General features: G+C 39.7%; 1 protein-coding gene across 24 annotated transcripts in view; it reads left to right on the top strand.

The window, feature by feature from the left end:
- Nucleotides 1–21,663, top strand: part of ZBTB44 (zinc finger and BTB domain containing 44) — an 88,241-nt gene that overhangs the window by 29,735 nt on the left and 36,843 nt on the right. The gene's annotated exons all lie outside the window — the stretch shown is intronic.

The raw sequence follows: 21,663 nt of genomic DNA, 5'->3' as shown, positions 1-21,663 counted from the left end.
AAGAGACTAGTGAGGAACTCTTGGCTCCACCAGTTCAAACTCAAAGGACATGGCTTTGCTCCATACTTCGGAAAGGAAGAACTCACTGGTTCCCACCAGCACTGGTAAAACCTTTCAGCCAGAATCCCAGATGCCGCAAGATAGAAGGAGCCACAGTCAGTGACTGCATTATGGTCAGATCGTTTTGTGTATATGGATGTGATGATTTTCACAAAGAAAAGAAGTCAAAATATACTTAAAATTTAGAGAGATTGGCCCCCAGGTCCTGTTTTTAACAGTGATTTTTGTACAAAGCAGTGGACTTTTTTTTTTTTGGAGACGTAGTCTCGCTCTGTTTCCCAGGCTGTGGAGTGTAGTGGCATGATCTCAGCTCACTGCAACCTCTACCTCCTGGGTTCAAGCGATTCTTCTGCCTCAGTCTCCAGAGTAGCTGGGATTACAGGCACGTGCCACCACGTCGGCTAAATTTTGTATTTTTAGTAGAGACGGTGTTTCTCCATGTTGGTCAGGCTGGTCTCGAACTCCTGACCTCGTGATCCACCCGCCTCAGCCTCCCAAAGTGCTGGAATTACAGGGGTGAGCTACCACGCTTGGCCAACAGTGCTTTTTGTACAAAGTAGTGGACTCTTAAGAACCAAGTCATCTGTGCTCCATCCCTAGCCCTGACATTAAGTAACTGACATCCCTAGCTCTGACGTTAATAACTGACATTAAGTAACTGACTTGGTTTACTTTTCTGGGCTTTAGCACAAGTATATGCCACCAGTAAATGTTTGTTGAGGTACCATGAACAGTTGTGGTAATTATACATTACCAAAGTGTTTGTGATTATTAGTTACTTGAATTTTATTTTACCAATGAATAAACTTTTAATAAGAGGAGGATGACTGCAAAGTGTGAGTTGTTTGTCCGTATTGCCTATGAGCAAGAATGATACAATGAAAAAATTTGCAATTAACATCATATACAGTATAATTCTATAAATTGCATGAATTCTAATATTAAATGTGAAAAAATTTACCTACCTGTTTGCTTGCTTGCCTTTTTTGTATTTTTAGTAGAGACGGGGTTTCGCCATGTTGGCCAGGCTGGTCTTGAACTTCCGACCTCAGGTGATCTGCCCACCTCAGCCTCCCATATGTGCTTGGATTACAGGCATGAGCCACCGTGCCCAGCTGCTTGCCTTTTTTTTTTTTTTTTTTTTTTTTTTTTTGAGATGGAGTCTTACTCTGTCACCCAGGGTAGAGTGCAAAGGCACAAACTTGGCTCACTGCAGCCTCCACCTCCCGGATTCAGGAGATTCTCCTGCCTCAGCCTCCTGAGTAGCTGGGACTGCAGGCACCTGCCATCATGCCCAGCTAATTTTTTTTTGTATTTTTAGTAGAGATGGGATTTCACCATTTTGGCCAGGTGGATCTCAAATTCCTGACCTCAGGTGATCCACCCACCTCGGCCTCCCAAAGTGCTGGGATTACAGGCATGAGCCACTGCGCCTGGCCTGCTTTGCCTTTTTAATATCAAGAAAAAAAATCAAGATGCCTTCTCATTGTCGAATAAAGCTTAATTTTTTAAAATGAGATTGAACATATAATTGTGTTTATTAAAAATGAAAATCTTTTGATATAAATTTAAATTGAGTAATTCTTACATAAGATTATTTTGCAGTGATCATGCCAAAATAAAGTCTGGTGCGCTTTGCTTTTGTTCCCTGCAGTTCTTTTGAGTTTTGTAAAAATCTGGCCTTGCTGATGAAAAATTTTGGAAATAGGAAATGGTTGCACAACAGTGTGATTGTACTTAATGTCACTGAACTGTACACTTTAAAATGGTTAGAATGGGCCGGGCACGGTGGCTCATGCCTGTAATCCCAGCACTTTGGGAGGCCGAGGCGGGTGGATCATTTGAAGTCAGAAGTTTGAGACCAGCCTAGCCAACATGGCAAAACCGCCTCTCTACTAAAAATACAAAAAAATTAGCCAGGTGAGTCCCGTACACCTGTTATCCCATCCACTTGGGAGGCTAAGGCAGGATAATTGCTTGAACCTGGGAGATGGAGGTTGCAGTGAGCCAAGGTTGCGCCACTACACTCCAGCAGTCTGGGTGACAGAGCGAGACTCCATCTCAAAAAAAAAAAAAAAAAAAAAAAAGGTTAGAATGGCAAATTTTATTTTATATTTTTTTTAACCACAATTAAAAAAATATTGGAGCTAGTCACAGTGGTGGGGACCTGTAGTCCCAGCTACTTAGGAGACTGATATGGGAGGATTGCTTGAGCTCAGGAATTGGAGACCAATGTGGGTAGCATAGCGAGACCCCATCTCTAATTTAAACAAAAATCTCCTTGCCCAGGGAGGTGTGTCACACACATGACATCTGCTGTCGTGTGTCGTGGCTAAATAAAATACAGGTGATAATTGCCAACGTGGAAGAGAGAAATGTGAACCGTTTAAGGTGGTAGCCACTCTTACTCAAAATACTGCAAAATACAGAATTCTATGTTTGGGGTAACTTCAGTCAAGTGATTTAATTAGTAGAAGGCTGTAGGGCTAGGTGGCCTTCAACATTGCTCTTTACCTGGAAATTAAGTTTGTGATTCAAACCTTTTATTGGTTAAGTCAGGGATTTAAAATCTGTAGAAAAGACTCAAGTGTCCAGCATGAGTAGAATGGATGAACAAAATGTGGTTTATATTCAGCTTTAGAAAGGAAGAAATCTTGACACAGTAGTACATTGTGGAAGAACCTTGAGAACACTTCGCTATGTGAAATAAGCCAGAAACAAATATTGAATGCTTCCACTTATATGAGGTACCTTCAGTAGTCAAATTCATAGAGACAGAAAGTAGAACAGTGACTACAGGAACATGGGGATGGGAAGAATGGGGAGCTATTGTTTAATGAGTACTGTGTTTCACTGTGGGATGATGACAAAGCTCCAGAGACGGATAGTGATGGATGGTTGAACCACAGTGTGAATGTATATAATGTGAACATACAAACTGTATGCTTAAAAATAGTTAAAACAGTAAATTTTGTGTATATTCTGCCACAAAAATAACCTTAACTGCTGCTTATTAAGTAACTTAGATGATGTAGGCTTTAGTTTATAATAGGGTGTTATGTTTCATTTTAAGAAATTGGGTCTCACTCCATCACCCAGGCTGGAGTGTGGTGGCATGATCATAGCCCACTGTAACCTTGAATTCCTGGGCTCATGCAAATAGGGTATTGGAGAACTTTTACAAAATAAAATGACATGGGCACATCATCAAAACAATAGGCCGGGCGCGGTGGCTCACGCCTATAATCCCAGCACTTTGGGAGGCCAAGGCGGGCGGATCACGAGGCCAGGAGATCGAGACCATCCTGGCTAACACGGCGAAACCCCGGCGAAACCCCGTCTCTACTAAAAATACAAAAAATTAGCTGGGTGTGGTGGCGGGAGCCTGTAGTCCCAGCTACTTGGGTGGCTGAGGCAGGAGAATGACGTGAACCCGGGAGGTGGAGCTTGCAGTGAGCCGATATCACACCACTGCACTCTAGCCGGGGTGACAGAGTGAGACGAGACTCCATCCCCCCCCCAAAAAACAACAACAACAATAAAACTACTTTTTAAAATATTTATTTATTTATTTATTTATTTATTTATTTATTTATTTATTTATTTTGAGACAGGGTCTCTGTTGCCCAGGCTAGAGTGCAGTAGCACAATCACAGCTCACTGCTGTTTCGAACTCCTGGGCTCAAGCCATCCTCCCACCTTAGCTTTCTAAGTACCTGGAGCCACAGGCTTATGTTACCACACCTAACTAATTTTTGTATTTTTTGTGGAGACAGGGTCTCACTGTGTTGCCTAGGCTGGTCTTGAACTCTTGGGCTCAAGTGATCCTCCCACCTCGGCCTCCCAAAGTGCTGGGATTACAGGCGTGAGCCACCGCGCCCGGCCTGTTTTCTGGCTTCTTAAGGCAGACACTTTGGATGATTAATTTGAGACCTTACTCATTTTCTAATTATAATCATTTAAGGGAATGAATTTCCCTATAAGCACTACTTTAGCTGCATTCCATAAATGTAGATGTGTTTCATTTTTGTTCATTTTAACGTTTTATAGCTTCCCTTGTGTCTTGCCTTTTGATTTATGGATTGTTAGAAGTGTGTTGTGTTAATGAGAGAACTTCCCCAACCTGGCAAAGGGCAATTACAAAAAACCTAGAGATAGTAAGACTGGATGCTAAAAAGGCGAGATTGTCCTTTCCCTCAAGTTCTATTCCCACCAATCCTATTAAACATTATATTAAAAGTCCTCACTGGTGCAAAAAGGCAAGAAAAATAATAGGCATAGAGATATGAAAGGAAAAAACAAAACTTCTTATTGAGAGACCTGATTATTTACACCCAAGTAATTTTTTAAAAATACAAAAAGCGTGCTAGAACTAATCAATGACAGGAACAAGTCAACGTAAAGAAGTTTGGTGATTTTTTAATTACCTTTCTGTTACCAATTTTTGTGTTGTAATTCCATTAGGGTCAGAGAACATACATTAGAAAGACTGACTATTCTTCTGTTACTGCATAGAATGTTCTATAAATGGCAGTTAGATCCAGTTGGTTGATGGTGTTATGTCTTTGCTAATTTTCTGCCTACTAGTTTTGTGATGGCTGAGACAGGAGTGTTAAAGTCTCTAAGATTAGGGCCTTGTATATTTTTTCTTTCATTTCTGTCGTTTTTACTTCATGTATTTTGATGCTGTCTTTTAAGGTATATACACAGAATTGTTTCACTTGATGAGTTAATCCAGTTCAGCTTTCTTTTGATTAGTGTTTAAATGGTATGTATTCTTTTCCAACCTTTCCCCTTTAACGTACCTAAGATATGTTTGAAGTTAGTTACTTATAAACAGACTACATTGAGATCATGGTTTTTCTCTTTTTTCTCCTCGTGCTGTCTCTGTGTTTTCATTGTTGTGATTAAATCATTTGCATTTATTATAATTGCAAATGCACTTTAGAGGTAGAGGCTCCCTTCTTACACCCATCCCCTGCTAATGAAATGAAGGCTGTACTTTGGGCTTGACACCCTGAGAATACTGGGACAAAAATTGCCGTTGCGCTGGCTTGTGAAGCAATGATTGAGTCAAGCCTAGAAGTCTTCAGGTTGCTGTCCCCCTTTCTGCCAAGTACTCAGCTCCTAGAGCAGGGATTTCATTCTGAGAGAATCTTGCAATTATTTCCATCCCCAGCTTTAGAGACTTGGCTCAGAGATTTTTTGTGGTGGGGAGAAGTAGACCAATAGTTCTTAATCTCTTCTGAATGCAGCTTACTTAATTGGGAAGATAATGTGTAGAATTTCAAAGCTAAGGGCACTCTCAAAAATGGTGGTAGTTGTGGGAGAGGACTATAGAAAAGACCAGAATAAGACAGCTAAGTGAAGCTCTACTGTAGCAAGAAGAAATATCAGATAGACCTCAAACTGTTCCTTCAAATGAGCTACGGTTGGTTGGTTGGTTGGTTGGTTGGTTGGTTTTGAGACAGAGTCTCGCTCTGTTGTCCAGGCTGAAGTGCAGTGGCATGATCTCAGCTCACTGCAACCTCCACCTCCTGGACTCGAGCGATTCTCCTGCCTCAGCATCCCGGTTAGCTGGGACCACAGGTGCATGCCACCAAGCCCAGCTAATTTTGGTATTTTTAATGGAGACAGGGTTTTGCCGTGTTGGCCAGGCTGGTCTCGAACTCCTGGCCTCAAGTGATCCACCTGCCTCAGCTTTCCAAAGTGCTGGTATTACAGGTGTGAGCCACTGCACCCAACCTGAGCCACATTTTGATTTCAATTAATTTGTAGAATATAAACCCAGGGCTTTTTTTTTTTTTTTTTTTTAAATAACAGTAGAACAGTTAGTGGAGTTTAACACCTTGGTGTGATAAGAGCTAGAATATCACTGTAAGTCCAGGGTGACTGTGGGCGTACCCAAAAATGTACCTCTCTGTGGATCAACATCCAAGGCTTAGCATTGTGGAGGTTGGGGAAGTGGGGAAATAGACTTTGCTAAAATAATTCGGCTAGTCACTAAAAAATAAGCAAGAAACAGTAAGAAGCACCAAGAAAGAGGGAGGTAGAAGAAAGGAACAGTAACTGGATTTGCTATACTATATTATCAAAAATGTCAGTGTCTAGCAAAAAATTATGAGGCATGCAGAGAAAAAAGAAATTATGACTCATGCACCAGAAAAAAAGCAGACCTTATAAACTGCCTGTGTGAGAGAGACCACATGTCAGATTTAACAGAAAAGACTTCAAAATAGCCATCATAAGTGTGTTCACAGAACTAGAGAAAAAGCATAAAGAGGTAAAAGTGGGTATAGTGACAATTTTGCATAAAATAGAGGCTATCAATAAGAATATAAAAATTATTGAAAAAACAATTAGAAATTCTGGAATTGAAAAAAATAATTAACCGAAAATTCACTAGCAGTGCTCTTCTTCACTGGCAGAAGATGGGTTTAGTGAATTCGAACATAGATCAATAGAAATTATGCAAACTGAGGAACAGAGATAAGATAATAATGAGTAGAGCTTCAGCAAAACATAAGACACCATCCCACATACCATTAAACACTTAAGAGTAATGGGAGTTCTGGAAGGAGAGGAGGAAGAGAAAGAAGATAACAATAGAAAATGATATAGCAATAGAAAAAAACACTCAAATAGTGGCAGAAAACTTCCCATACAAACGAATGATGGTTTGACTTACAAGTTTTTAGTGTATGATAGCACAAAAGTGAAAGTGATAAAGCATTCAGTAGAAACCGTGCTTCAAGTACCCTTACAACCACTCTGTTTTTCACTTTCAATGTGGTATTCAATAAATCATATGAGGTACTGAACACTTTATTTAAAAATACTTTGTGTTAGGTTATTTTGCCCAACTGTGTAAGCTAATGTCAGTGTTTTGAGCACTTTAAGCTAGACTAAGCTGTGATCTTTAGGAAGGTAGGTATATTAAATGCATTTTCGACTTTGATATTTTTAACTAACAATGGGCTTATTGGATATAATTCCATACATTGGAGCATCTTTACTGAAAATCTTTTTCTAAGTAAGAAAAATGTAGCAATTTAAACATACAGTAAAAACGCTAAAAGTTTAAAAAGGGAAAATCTTTAAAATAGTAAGAAAATAACTCACTCAAAATGGAACCACTGTAGGATTAATGGCTGACTTCTTATAGCAGTGGAGGCCAGAAGGCGTTGGGAGAACATATTCAAAATGTGCAAAGGACGAGGGAAGAAAACTGTCAACCAAAAATCTTATATCCAACAATGCTATCTTTTTTAAATGAAAGCAAAATAAAGACTGTCCTAGATAAAAACGAAAATTTGTTGCTAGCTGACCCACTTTACAAGGAACATCAAAGGAATTTTTTCAGGCTGAAGGCAAATGACCCTAGATGGTAATTTGAATGCACACAAAAAAATAGAGCATCAGAAAAGGTAATTATATAATTACTTTAAAAAAAAGAAATTAACATTTTTCTCCTTTCTTGTTATAAGTTTATTAAAAAGCAAGCTATTTTATATGTATATACATATATGTAATGCTGATCCCATAACAAAGAAATGTAATAAATCTGTAATATATCTGCCAGTAACAGCACAAAAATAAGTGGGTAGGAGCAAAGCTGTGTTGGGCTAAGGAAATGACTACAGATGGGAAAGCAGTAATCATGACCACATATTGTGTTTGTAATCATGAGCAGATATGATATCTGTAACAATGCTACTATAAATGGGGGAGGGAATTGACATATATAGTAGTCATGTTTTTGTCTGTCACAAGAATTAAGCTAGTATAGATCTGAAGCTGGTTCTGGTATATATTCTAAAACCTTGAGCAACTACTAAAAACAACTCAAAAAATATAATTAAAAATCATTTTAAACCTGCAGATGCTACATTAGAAAATAATACAAAAGTAAGCACTAAAGGAATAGTAGAGGAACAAAACAGACATGGGACATAGAATTGCACGTTTGAATCTAACTATACAAATAACATTAAATGTGAACGGATTGAAATCAAAAGACAGAGATTGTCAGACTAAGTTTATAAACAGCATTATCCAGCTGTATGCTAGCTAAAGGAGACATAATTGTCATTCAAAGAAAAATAGATTGAAAGTAAAAGGATGGAAATAAATATATCATGTAAACAGCAACCACCAGAAAGCGAGAGTGGTTTTACTCGTATCCAGCAAATAGACTTTATAACAAAAAGTGTTACTAGAGACGTTTTATAAGGATAAAAGGGTCATTTCATCAGGAAGCTGTAACAGTTATGTTGCATATATGTAATAACAGAATACCAAAATACATGAAGCAAAAACAGAAATGAAGAAACAGACAATTCAACATTAGTAGTTGGAGACTTCAGTATACCGCTTTTAATAATGTATAGAACAGGCCGGGCACAGTGGCTAACACCTGTAATCCCAGCACTCTGGGAGGCCGAGGCGGACAGATCACTTAGGAGTTTGAGACCAGCCTGGCCATCATGGTAAAACCCTATCTCTACTAAAAATACAAAAATTAGCCAGGCATGGTGGTGCACTCCTATAATCCCAGCTACTCGAGAGGCTGAAGCAAGAGAATCACTTGAACCCAGGAGGTGGAGGTTGCAGTGAGTCAAGATCATGCCACTGCACTCCAGCCTGGGCAACACAGCAAGACTCTGTCTCAAAAAAAAAAGAAAAAAAAAAGAAACGTATAGAAAATTAAAAGGTCAACAAGTAAATAGACGCTATAAACCAACTAGACCTAACTGACATCTATGGAACACTTCACCCAGCAACAATAGAGTATATGTTCTTCTCAAGTGCACATGGAACATTCTCCATTATAGACCATATGCTAGCCATGAAACAAACCTCTGATTTCTTTTTTCTTTTTTTTTTTTTTGAGACAGAGTTTCACGTTCACTCTTGTTGCTTAGGCTGGAATGCCAAGGTGTGATCTCAGCTCACTGCAACCTCTGCCTCCCGAGTTCAAGCGATTCTCCTGCCTCAGCTTCCCCAGTCACTGGGATTATAGGCACCTGCCACCATGCCTGGTTAATTTTTGTATTTTTAGTAGAGACGGGGTTTCACCGTGTTAGCCAGACTAGCCTCAAACTCCTGACCTCAGGTGATCACCCGCTTTGGCCTCCCAAAGTGCTGGGATTACAGGCGTGAGCCACTGCACCTGGCCAATAGATTTTAATGCAAATGACCTGGCGCGGTGGCTCATGCCTGTAATCCCAGCACTTTGGGAGGCCAAGGTGGGCCGATCACGAGGCCAAGAGATCGAGACCATCCTGGCCATCATGGTGAAACCCTGTCTTTACTAAAAATACAAAAATTATCTGGGCATGCTGGCACGCGCCTGTACTCCCAGCTACTTGGGAGGCTGAGGCAGGAGAACTGCTTGAACCTGGGAGGCGGAAGTTGCAGTGAGCTAAGATCATGCCACTGCATACCAGTCTGGCAACAGAGTGAGACTCTGTCTCAAAAAAAAATGGAGATTATGTTCTGAGACCATATGGAATGAAATTAGAAATCAAAAGCAGGAAAAAATTTGAGAAGCTCACAAATATGTGGTAATTAAACAATGCATTCCTAAATAACCAACAGATCAAAAAAGAAATCCAAATGAAATCAGAAAATATTCTAGAGTGGGTTAGGCATGGTAGCCCACTCCTTTAATCTCAGCACTTTGGGAGGCCAAGGCAGGAGAATCGCTTGAGCCCAGGAGTTTGAGACCAGCCTGGGCAACATAGTGAATCCCTGTCACTATTTTTTAAAATGTATTTTAAAAAAGAAAATGTTCTATGGTGAATAAAAATGAAGATACGACATTACAAACACTCACGGTATGTAGTTATAGCAGTGCTTAGAGGGAAATTTATAGTTACAGATGCTTATATTAAGGAAGAAGAAAGATCTCAAATGAATGACCTCGCCCCTCCACCTTAAGACACTGGAAAAAGAGCAAACCTACTTAAGGAGGCATAAGGAAGGAAATAATAAAGATCATAAAAGAATACTATGAAAAATTTTATAGCAATATAATTGTCATATGTCAAATGTCAGAAGCAGTAGACAATCTGAATAGATCTATATCAAGTAATGAGATTAGTAATTTAAAAACTACCTTCAATGAAAAGCCCAGGCTCAGATAGCTTTACAGTGAATTCTACCAAACATTTAAAGAACTAATACCGATTCTTTACAAACTCTTCCAAAAAACGGGAGGGGAGGGAACTGCTGTTCCCATATCATTTTATGTGGCTGGTATTTACCCTGACAATAAAGCCAGACAAAGACGTCACAAGAAAACTCCAGACCAATATCTCTTATGAATAATGGATGTGAAAATCCTCAACAAAGTACTAGCAAACTGAATCCCACAACATATTTTTTTAAAAAACAAACTGTATCATACATGATCAACTGGGATTTTTTCCAGGTTGCCAAGGCTAGTTCAACATTTAAAATTAATTAATGGAATATATTAATAGAATAATTTTTAAATTACATGATTATATCAATAGATGCAGAAAAAGCATTTGACTCATTGAATTCCCTTTAGTGATAGTAACACTGTAGCAAACTAGGAATAGAGAAGAGTTTCCTTAACCTGAAAAGGGGCATCTATGAAAACCTCGTAGCTAACATAATCAGTGATAACAGACTGGGAATTTCCCCTTCTAAGACTAGGAACAAGACAAGGATATCTGCTCTTGCTATTTCTGTTTAACATTGCACTGGAGACTCTAGGTAAGGAAATTAGGCAAGATAAATAAAAGGCATCTAGTTTGGAAAGGAAGAGGTAAGACTGTTTTCAGATGACCTGATCTTATACACGTTGAGCATCCCAAATCCAAAAATGTAAAATTTGAAATGCGCCAAAGTGCAAAGTGTTTTGAGCACCAACATGACGCTCAAAATCCTCATTAGAGCATTTTGGATTTCGGGTTTTTGGATTTAGGAATGTTCAACTAATAACATGTAATGCAAATATTCTAAAATTCAAAATACTTTCGGTCCCAAACTTTTTTTTTTTTATTTGAGACAATCTTGCTCTGTCACTCAGATTGGAGTGCAGTGGTGTGCTCTTGGCTCACTGAAACCTCCGCCTCCTGGGTTCAAATTATTTTCCTGCCTCAGCCCCCCTACTAGCTGGGATTACAGGCATGTGCCACCACGTCAAACTAATTTTTTTGTATTTTTTATAGATGGGCCGGGGTTGGGCGGGTGGGGTCTCTCCATGTTGGCCAGGCTGGTCTCGAACTCCTGGCCTCAAGTGATCCACCTGCCTCAGCCTCCCAAAGTGCTGGGATTACAGATGTGAGCCACCATGCCTGGCCCCCAAGCATTTTGGATAAGGGATACTCAACCTGTTTATAGAAAATCGTAAGGAATTCATTTAAAAAGTATAGGACTAATAAACAAGTTGAGCAAGGTTGCAGAATATAAAACCAGTATACAAACATGAGTTGTCTTATTATACACTTGCAGTGAAGCATTAAATTAAGAAAACAGGCTGGAGGTAGTGGCTCATGCCTGTAATTCTAGCAGTTTGGGAGGCCAAGGTGGGTGGATTGCTTGAGCCCGGGAGTTTGAGACCGGCCTGGGCAATGTGTCAAAACCCCATCTCTACAAAAAATACAAAAATTAGCCAGGCATGTTGGTGGCCCATGCCCGTAGTCCCAGCTACTCAGGAGACTGAGGTAGGGGGATCAGTTGAGCCCAGCAGATCAAGGCTTCAGTGAGCCGTGATCATACCATTGCACTCCAGCCTGGGGCAGCAGAGTGAGACTCTGTCTCAAAAAAAAAAAAAAAAAAATTAAGAAAATAATTTTATTCATGGTGACATCAAAAGAATAAATTTAACAAAGAAAAACTCATACTCTGAAAACTTACAACATGGCTGAAAGAAATTAAAGACAATCTAAATAAATAGAAAAACACCCCATGTTCATGGATCAGAAGATTCAACATTGTAAAGATAGCAGTATTCTCCAAACTAATCTATAAATTCAATGCAGTTCCTATCAGAATCCTTGCTGACTTTGTAAAGATTGACAGTCTGATTCTGAAATTAATATGGAGTTGCAGGGGACCCAGAATAGCCAAAATAGTACTGAAAAAGGACAAAATAAGAGGACTCAGCTTCTTGACTTCAAAACTTACTGCAAAACAACAGTAATTAAAGCATTGTGGTACTGGCACAAGGACATATAAATCAATGGAATAGAGAGTCCAGATATAAACCTATTTGTGTTCAACTGATTTCCAACAAGGATGCCAAGATCTTTCAGTGGTAAAAGAATACGCTTTTTAACAGATGGTACTGGGACAACTAAATAGCTACATGCAAAAGAACGAGGTGGGACCATATACAAAAAATAACTCAAAATAGGTTAAAGGCCTGAAACTTTAAAACTCCTTGAAAAAAAAAAAAAGATATTAGTAAATCTTCATGACTTTGTATTTGGCAAGGAATTTGTAGATACGATACCAAAAGCATGAACAGCAAAAGAAAAACACTGAACTTCATAAAAATTAAAACCTTCTGTGCTTCAAAGGACACCGTCATAAAAGACAACCCACAGAATGAGAGAAAATATTTGCAAACCATTTCTCTGGTAAGCAACTCACAACTAGAATATATAAAGAACTCTGACAACTCAGTAACAAAAAGACAACCCAATGGGCAGAGCTCCAAATGGACAAGGAAGATACACTAATGTCCAGTAAGCACATGAAGATGCTCAACATTGTTACTTATCAGGGAAATGTAAATTAAAACTACAGTGAGATACCACTTCACATCCACTAGGATGACTAGAAACAAAGTTGAATCATAAGTGTTGGTGAGGATGTGGAGAAATCAGAATCCTCATACACTCTTTTTTTTTTTGGAGACGGAGTCTCGTTGACACCCAGGCTGGAGTACAGTGGCGTGATCTTGGCTCACCGCAACCTCCGCCTCCCAGATTCAAGCTATTCTCCTGCCTCAGCCTCCCGAGCAGCTGGGATTACAGGCGCCCACCCCTACACCCAGCTAATTTTTTTGTATTTTTAGTAGAGTTCGGGCTTCACCATATTGGCCAGGCTGGTCTTGACTCCTGACCTCAAGTAATCCACCCGCCTCGACCTCCCAAAGTGCTAGGATTACAGATGTGAACCACCGCATCCAGCCTCCTCATACACTCTTGATGGGAATATAAAGGTGTGGCTGCTTTGGAAGACAGTCTGACAATTTCTCAAATGATTAAATATAGAGTTACCATATGACCCAGCAATTCCTGTCTTACACATATACCCAACAAACTGAAAACATACATCCACACAAAAACTTACACGATTGTTTATAGCAGCATTATTCATAATAGCCAAAAACTGGAAACAACTCGTGTCCATTAACCTGTAGATAATAAAAATGCGGAATATGGAGTGGAGTATTTTTTCAGCAATAAATGTAAATGAGGCATGATACATGGTAGAACATTATACTAAGTGAAGTGAGCCCCAAACGTCCACATTATTATATGATTCCATTCATATGAAAGTCTTGGATGGGGAAGTTTATAGACAAAAAATAGATTAGTGATTGCTTAGGGCTGGCAGGAAGTTGGAGGGGGTTCTCCTAGGTTTGTCTGTTGGGAACCTCCTCAAGTTGACTTGAGCTTTGACATACCCCGAGTAATCTTTGGTAGCTTCCTTGTTATCTGGTCAGATATTCCAGAAGGCATTTACTGCCTGAGACATGGAATCAGCCATTTCTCTAAGGACCCATGAGTTTATAGTTTTTTTGAGATGAGAAATGGAATTTAGAAGCCATTCTGGGTGCTAGCCATATTCATTGCTAGAGATTAAGTACATTATCATTTCATACTGATGCTTTTAATGTGAAATTCAAGACTGTAAACTCAAATTGCAACTTTTTCCTTTAACTATTTATAATGAATAGATATAGGCATTTTATATAGCAAAACCAGACAGAAATTTTATAACATAAATTTATTCATTCATATATTTCACTCTGTTGTATGTTATGTGCAATACTGGACAGGGTCGAGAGAAATTAGACACAAAATGTTTTCACCAAGGCCTTTTGCTCTATCTGCTCCAAGCTTCTAACAACGTGCCTTTCTGCCCTTCGTCCCCGTACATTCTTTACATGTCTTCAGCTCTGATAAATTCAGCAGAATGAAATTTATCGTGACTTCTTCCCTGAACTGCAGGCCAGAATGGGCAACTTCATGTATAAATTTACATGTGGATATTCTTCTCAGGTATTTTAAACTCAGTATATCCAAAATTGAAACATTTCTTTCCCCATCATCAACCCCTATCGAAACCAGCTCTTCTTTTGTCTTGTTTGGTGAAAACAAAGTTAGAGATAAAACCATCTGACTCTTTTAGCTACTGTTCCACCCACCCTTAGTACAAAATCATGCCTAGGTGGTTTTCCATTCTAAATATTTCTCAGATGCATTTTCTTTATCCTCACTGCTGCCACCAAGAAATCTTCTTAAAAGGCAGATAGGACTCTTCTACTCCCATGTGGCTACCTGTACTTTTTGAAGAAGATTGTAGGTCTGAAGCTTGGTATAAACATAAGTGGTCTTGAACCAAATAATTTTCTGGCCTCAGTTTCCTCATCTGTAAAATCAGGGTATTATAATGTAAACTCATGTGAGATAGCATATCTAAAGCCCCTAGTGTTCTATCTGGAGCATAGTTGATAAAAGCCAATACAGACAAGTTTATGTATAAATTTCCACCTGGATATTCCTCTTACAGGCATCTTAAACTTATATGCCCCTCTCCTTAACCTTTTCTGTCCTTCATGGGTTTTAATTAGAATATAAGCTGCGAGTGAGTGATCTCAGTTCAGTTTTAGCATAATTAAAACCTGGTTAGTATCTTTTGAAAGTTAGCTTCCAGTTTTGAGATGTGGCTGCATATTTAAATAGATACATTCTTTCAAATATCAACTTTTCCCATCCAACTAAAATTACTTCCAAGGTTAACAGTCTCATTACTTTCTCTTTCATCATGTTAAGCAGCCACGTCACTTTATATGCTAAGAGCTACTTCGTTTTAATCTCAAATCTTCTGATAATTTTTATCAGCTAATCTATATATCAAAATACAGGTTTTTAAAATGCTGTGAAAAATAGACATTTTAAAATTTGATCTACATTTAATTTTTGTTCACACTTTTTCTAGTGTGAATAAATAGCTAACGTTTATTGAATGCTTGCTTTATGCCAGGAATTGTGCTAATTTAATCCTCTTGGCTATCTTGGAAGTATAATTTCTATGATTCCTGTTTTTCAGATGAGAAAAAAAACAGAAGCATCATTAGAGAGGTGAACAACTTGACTCAGATTTAATGCCTGGCTGGTAAATGGGGAAGTGAAAATTTAAAACCTAAGATTTGTCTAACTTAAACCAATCTACTTTATCAACTAGGCTGTATACCTTATTTGGCAAAATTGTTTCAACCCAACTGTAAAAAAAAATTGTAGGTTCTTTTTTGTATTCCCTTAAATTATATGTTGTTTAGCAACATACCACTTTCACAAGAATGTGTGATAGCAGTATTTCATCAGTAATTTGGAATAAAATGGGTGGGAAGTAAACTTCCTGAATTACTGAATAGTTCAAATTGCAAACTGCTACAAGTACATTTTTATTACTTGTAAATGCTGCACAAAGTCTAAATTAGTAATTGTAGTTAATACTGATCTTTACTCAAGAATTTTAAATGACCTCCAAATTAAACTTATAACTACACATATACATATTCATCTACACACAGAGATAAATGAGATTAATTAATTAATTATTTAGTGGAGTTTCACTCTTTTTGCCCAGGCTGGAGTGCAATAGTGTGATCTCGGCTCACTGCAATCTCCACCTCCCGGGTTCAAGTGATTCACCTGCCTCAGCCTCCCGACTAGCTAGGATTACAGGCACACACCACCACTCCCAGCTAATTTTGTATTTTTAGTAGAGATGGGGTTTCACCATGTTGGCCAGGCTGGTCTTGACCCCTGACCTCAGGTGATCCACCCGCTTTGGCCTCCCAAAGTGCTGGGATTACAGGCATGAGCCACCGTGCCTGGCGAGATTTTTTTTTTTTTAAAGAGACTTGGCTAACTTATAAAAACTTCAGGTTATACCTTGTGGTTTCTCAACTGTCCATATTATGTATGACATTTTCTTTTTTTCTCTCTCTCTCTCTCTTAAAATTTGAGGCCGAGCGTGATGGCTCACACCTGTAATCCCAGCGCTTTGGGAGGCTGAGTCAGGTGGATCACATGAGGTCAGGAGTTCGAGACCAGCCTGGCCAACATGGTGAAACCCCATCTCTACTAAAATTACAAAAAATTAGCCAGGTGTAGTGTCTGGCGACTGTATTCGCAACTACTCAGGAGGCTGAAGCAGGAGAATTGCTTGAACCCGGGAGGCGGAGGTTGCAGTGAGCCAAGATAGTGCCACTGTACTCCAGCCTGGGTGACAGAGTGAGACTCTGTCTCAAAATAAAATAAAATAAAATTTGAGACAGGGTCTTGCTGTGTTGCCCAGGTTGGAGTCAAGGGCTCTTCCCACCTTAACTTCCTGAGTAGCTGGGATTACAGCTGCATGCCACTATACTTGGCACATTTTTCAAATATCTTAAAAATACTTTGTTGCTAAAAAATTCTAGCAATTATCTGAGCTTTCAGCAAGTCATAATCTTTTTGTTGGTGGAAGGTCTTGCCTTGATATTGATGGGTGCTACTGCTCTGGATGGAGGTCACTGAAGATTGGAGTTGTGGCAGTTTGTTTAATGAGACAGTGATGAAGTTTGCCACATGGGTTGAATCTTTCTTCCCCTACCCCACTCCACCCCCCGCTTTTTTTTTTTTTTAAATTAGACGTGGGTCTCACTCCATTGCATTGAGCTCCTGGGCTCAAGTAGTCTTCCTGCCTCAGCCTCCCAAAGTGCTGGGATTACAGGCATGAGCCCCTGCACCCAACCTGGATCTTTCTTTCGTGAGGATTTCTCTTTTTTTTTTTTTTTGTAGACAGAGTCTCACTCTGTCACCCAGTCTGGAGTGCATGGCATGATCTTGGTTCACTGCAGCCTCCACCTCCCGGGTTCAAGCAGTTCTGCCTCAGCCTCCCGAGTAGCTGGGATTACAGGTGCCTGCCACCACACCCGGCTAATTTTTTGTATTTTTGGTAGAAACAGGATTTCACCATGTTGTCCAGGTTGGTCTCGAACTCCTGACCTCAGGGGATCCACCTGCCCTGGCCTCCCAAAGTGCCAAAGTGCTGGGATTACAGGCATGAGCCACTGCGCCCGGCCTTCACGAGGATTTCTCTACAGGATGTGATGCTGTTTGATAGCATATTACTTATAGAAGGACTTCTTTCAAAATCAGAGTTGATTGCTAGGTGTAGTAGTTCAAACCTGTAATCTCAGCACTTTGCAATGCTGAGGCCAGGAGTTCGAGACCAGCCTGGGCAACATAGGGATACCCCTATCTCTACCTAAAGAAATAAAAAAATTTAAAAATTAGCCAGGCGTGGTGATACACACCATAGTCCTAGATGCTTGAGTGGCTAAGACAGGAGGATTGCTTGACCCTAGGACTTCAAGGCTACGGTGAGCCATGATCATGCCACTGTACTCCAGCCTGGGTGACAGAGTGAGACCCTGCCTCTAAAACAAAAATTATAATCTTACCTAGCTCTTCTGGATAACTTGCAGCTTTGACATCAGTACTTGCAGCTTTACCTTGCACTTTTATGCTATGAGGATGGCTTCTTTCCTTCAACCTCATGAACCAACCAACCTCTGCCAGCTTTTCTGAATTTGTTTTAGAGGCAGGGTCTCACTCTGTCGCCCAGGTTGATGTACAGTGGCTTGATCTCGGCTCACTGTAACCTCTGCTTCCCAAGCTCATGCAGTCCTCCAGTCTCAGCCTCCTGAGTAGCTGGGACTACAGGCATGTGACGTCACACTGAGCTAATTTTTGTATTTTTTGTAGAGATGGTGTTTCACCCTGTTGCCAGGCTGGTCTTGAACTCTTGAGCTCAAGCCATCCACCCACCTCAGCCTCCTGAAGTACTGGGATTATAGGGTGAGCCATTGCGCCCAGCTAAAAAAAATTTTTAATTAAAAATTTTTTTAAATTGGACTTGATCCTCTGAAACCCTGCCACTGCTTTATCAACAAGGTGTATGTAGTTTTCTAAATCATTTATTGTCATTTCAACAGTGTTCCTAGTATCTTCACCAGGAGTAGACTCCAACTCAAGAAACCACTGTCTTTGCTTATCCACAAGGAGCAACTCCTTATCTGTTCAAGTTTTATCATGAGATTGCAGCAATTCAGACTCCATTTTGAATTCTAGTTCTCTTGCAGTTTCCAACTCATCTGTAGTTACTTCCTTTGTGAAAGTCTTGAACCTCTCAAAGTCATCCATGAAGGCTGGAATCAATCTTGTCCAAACTCCTGTTAATGTTGATATTTTGACCTCCTCCCATGAATGTCAAACAGTCTTAATGGCATCTAGAATGATGAATCTTTTCCAGAAAGTTTTCACTTTGCTTTGTGCAGATCCGTCAGAGGAATCAGTATCTATGGCAGCTATAGCCTTTTGAAATGTATTCCTTAAATAATAAGGCTTGAAAATCAAAATGACTCCCTGATCTATAGGCTGCAGAATGGATGTTATATTAGCAGCCATGAAAACAACATCAGTCATGTACATCCTCATCAGAGCTCCTCGATGACCAGATGCACTGTTGGAAAGCAGTAATATACTGAAAGCAGTCTTGTGAGCAGTCGGCCTCAACAGTGGGCTTTTAAAACATTCAGTAAACCATGCTGTAAATAGATGTGCTGTCATCAGGCTGTGTTGTTTCACTTACAGAGCACAGGCAGAATAGATTGAGCCTAATCGTTAAGGGGTCTAGGATTTTCAGAATGGTAAATGAATATTGGCTTCCAGTTAAGTCACCAGCTGCATTAGCCGCTTACAAGAGAGGCATCCCGTCCTTTGAAGTTTTGAAGCCAGGCATTGACTTCTCTCTAGCTGTGAAATTCCTAAATGTGTCTGTTTCCAGTGTAAGGCTGTGTTGTCTGTATTGAAAACCTGCTGTTTAGTGTAGCCACCTTCGTCAATGATCTTAACTAGCTCTTCTGGATAACTTGTTGCAGCTTCGACATCAGCACTTGTGGGTTCACCTTGCACTTTTATGTTATGGAGATGGCTTCTTTCCTTCAACCTCATGAATCAACTTCTGCTAGCTTCCAACTTTTCTTCTGCAGCTTCCTCATCCCTCCCAGCCTTCATAGAATTGAAGAGAGTTATGGCCTTGCGCTGGATTAGGCTTTGATTTAAAGGAATATTGTGGTTGGTTTCATCTTCTGTGCACACCAGGCAAACTTTCTGCATGTCAGCAATAAGGCTGTTTTACTTTCTCATCATTTGTGTGTGCACTGGAGTAGCACTTTTAATTTCCTTCAAGAATATGTCCTTTGCTATCACAGCTTGGCTAGCTGTTTGGTATAAAAGGTCTAGCTTTCAGGCTCTCTCAGCTCTCAACATGCCTTCCTCACTAAACTTAATCATTTCTAGCATTTCATTTAAAGTGAAAAACATGAGGCGGGTGGATCACTTGAGGTCAGGAGTTCGAGACCAGGCTGGCCAACATGGTGAAACCCCCTCTCTACTAAAAATACAAAAATTAGCTGGGCTTTGTTGTATGCACCTGTATTTCCAGCTACTCTGGAAGCTGAAAGGAGAATTGCTTGAATCTGGGAGGTGGAGGTTGCAGTGAGCCAAGATTGTGCCACTGCACTCCAGCCTGGGTGACAGAGCAAAATTCCGTCTCATAAAAAAAAATAAAGTGAGAAACGTGCAGCTCTTCCTTTCACTTGGTCATTTAGAGGCCATCGTAGGGTTATTAATTGGTCTAATTTCAATATCCTTGTTTTTCATGGAATATGGAGACCTGAGGAGGAGGAGAGAGATGGGGGAATGACTAGTGGGTAAATCAGTCATAACACACACAACATTAAGTTCACTGTCTTATATGGGTGCAGTTTGTGGTACCCCAAAACAATTACAGTAGTAACATCAAAGATTACTGATCACAGATCACCATAACAGATATAATAATAATGAAAAATTTTGAAATATTGCAAGAATTACCAAAATGTGACACAAATGTGAAGTGAGCACAAGCTGGTGGAAAGTGGCACCAGTAGACTTGCTGACAGCAGGGTTGCCACAAATTTCCAATTTGTAAAAAACACAATATTTGCAAAGTTTAATAAAGCAAAGTGCAAGAAGATGAGGTATGTCTCTGTATCCAAAATATATTTGTCCATATAAGTTTGTATTATGGAGCATATCTTGGGCCTGAGTTTCTGCAGACATATTGGGAAATGCATGTGATAAATATATGGTAGAGAATGCATTTCCTCATCATCACCTTCTTCTCATCCCATACTTCTAAGTATATCAGACTTCGTACCATATATGTGAACAAGCATGACTTACGGGAGGTACTCATGAGCCATTTTATTTCTTCTGTGGAGTTAGTTCTCCAGCTTCCTGGAGAGTAAGTTTTAATAACTGTTCTGATCACTTTCAGGAAATACCAGCAATCTTTTCAAGAACTAATAAACTTAGAGTAAAAGCTTTCCCTCCTTTCCCACCTCAGGCCTACTACAGGCCTGCAGTTGAAGAGTTAGGTGTGGTTTACCTCCTTTTTCTTTCTTTCTCTCTTCCCCAACTTTCTTCTTTCACTTCTCTTCATTTGCTGGCTGTGGTTTCTGGCCCTTTCAGGAAGAAAAGGTCTTTGATAGCAATGTTAGTAGCAGCAGCAACTAATGTTTCTATAGCATTGATTATGTTACTAGTTACTATTCTAAACACTTAACATATATTAGGTCATTTAATCCTCAGAACTCTATGAGGTGTGTTGTGTTATATTTCTTATACCACTGAATATAGTAAGATACAGAGGGTTTGTTTAATGACTTGCCTAAGGTGACACAGGTAAAAATAGCAGAACCAGCATGCAGAGTGAGCATTCTGGCTCCAGAGTCTGTGCTTTCAACCACTCCACTGTGATGCCTTTATATACTGTTGGGAGATAGTAGGCATACGTCTTGGCCTTGATTGTTGTTTAAATCAGACTTATGTGCCCTTCAGAGTTTTTTCAGTTGTAACATATTTTCCATAGATTTGAGGTAAAGGATCAGCATGCCTTGAAGCCCCTTTCCCTGCAGGGGAGTAAGCAGGGAAGTAGAATGGGGTTTGCAACTCACAACAAACTGATTACTCTCAGCAAAAATCCTTTTCATATCTACTCTTTGAACACGGAAGATGACTGAAGGTGGATGTAACTCAAGGTTGAAAATAGTTTTCCACTACCCCTTGTATAAGGTGCCCTTGTGCCTCACTTGAGAACGTAGTACATTATCTGTTGTTTGGGGCCTATTCAAGATGGAAATGGTTTCATTTTAATACTCCGATGCACATGTCTTCCAAATATGCTGTTTAATTTCTTGCCTTCACACCTTTGTTCATGCAGATGGTCCCTGGATTA

The sequence above is a fragment of the Homo sapiens genome, chromosome 11 (genome assembly GCF_000001405.40).
Source record: "Homo sapiens chromosome 11, GRCh38.p14 Primary Assembly".
Lineage (NCBI taxonomy): Eukaryota > Metazoa > Chordata > Mammalia > Primates > Hominidae > Homo > Homo sapiens.
Note: the sequence above shows the minus strand (reverse complement) of the source record. Positions and strands in the feature narration are given on the sequence as shown.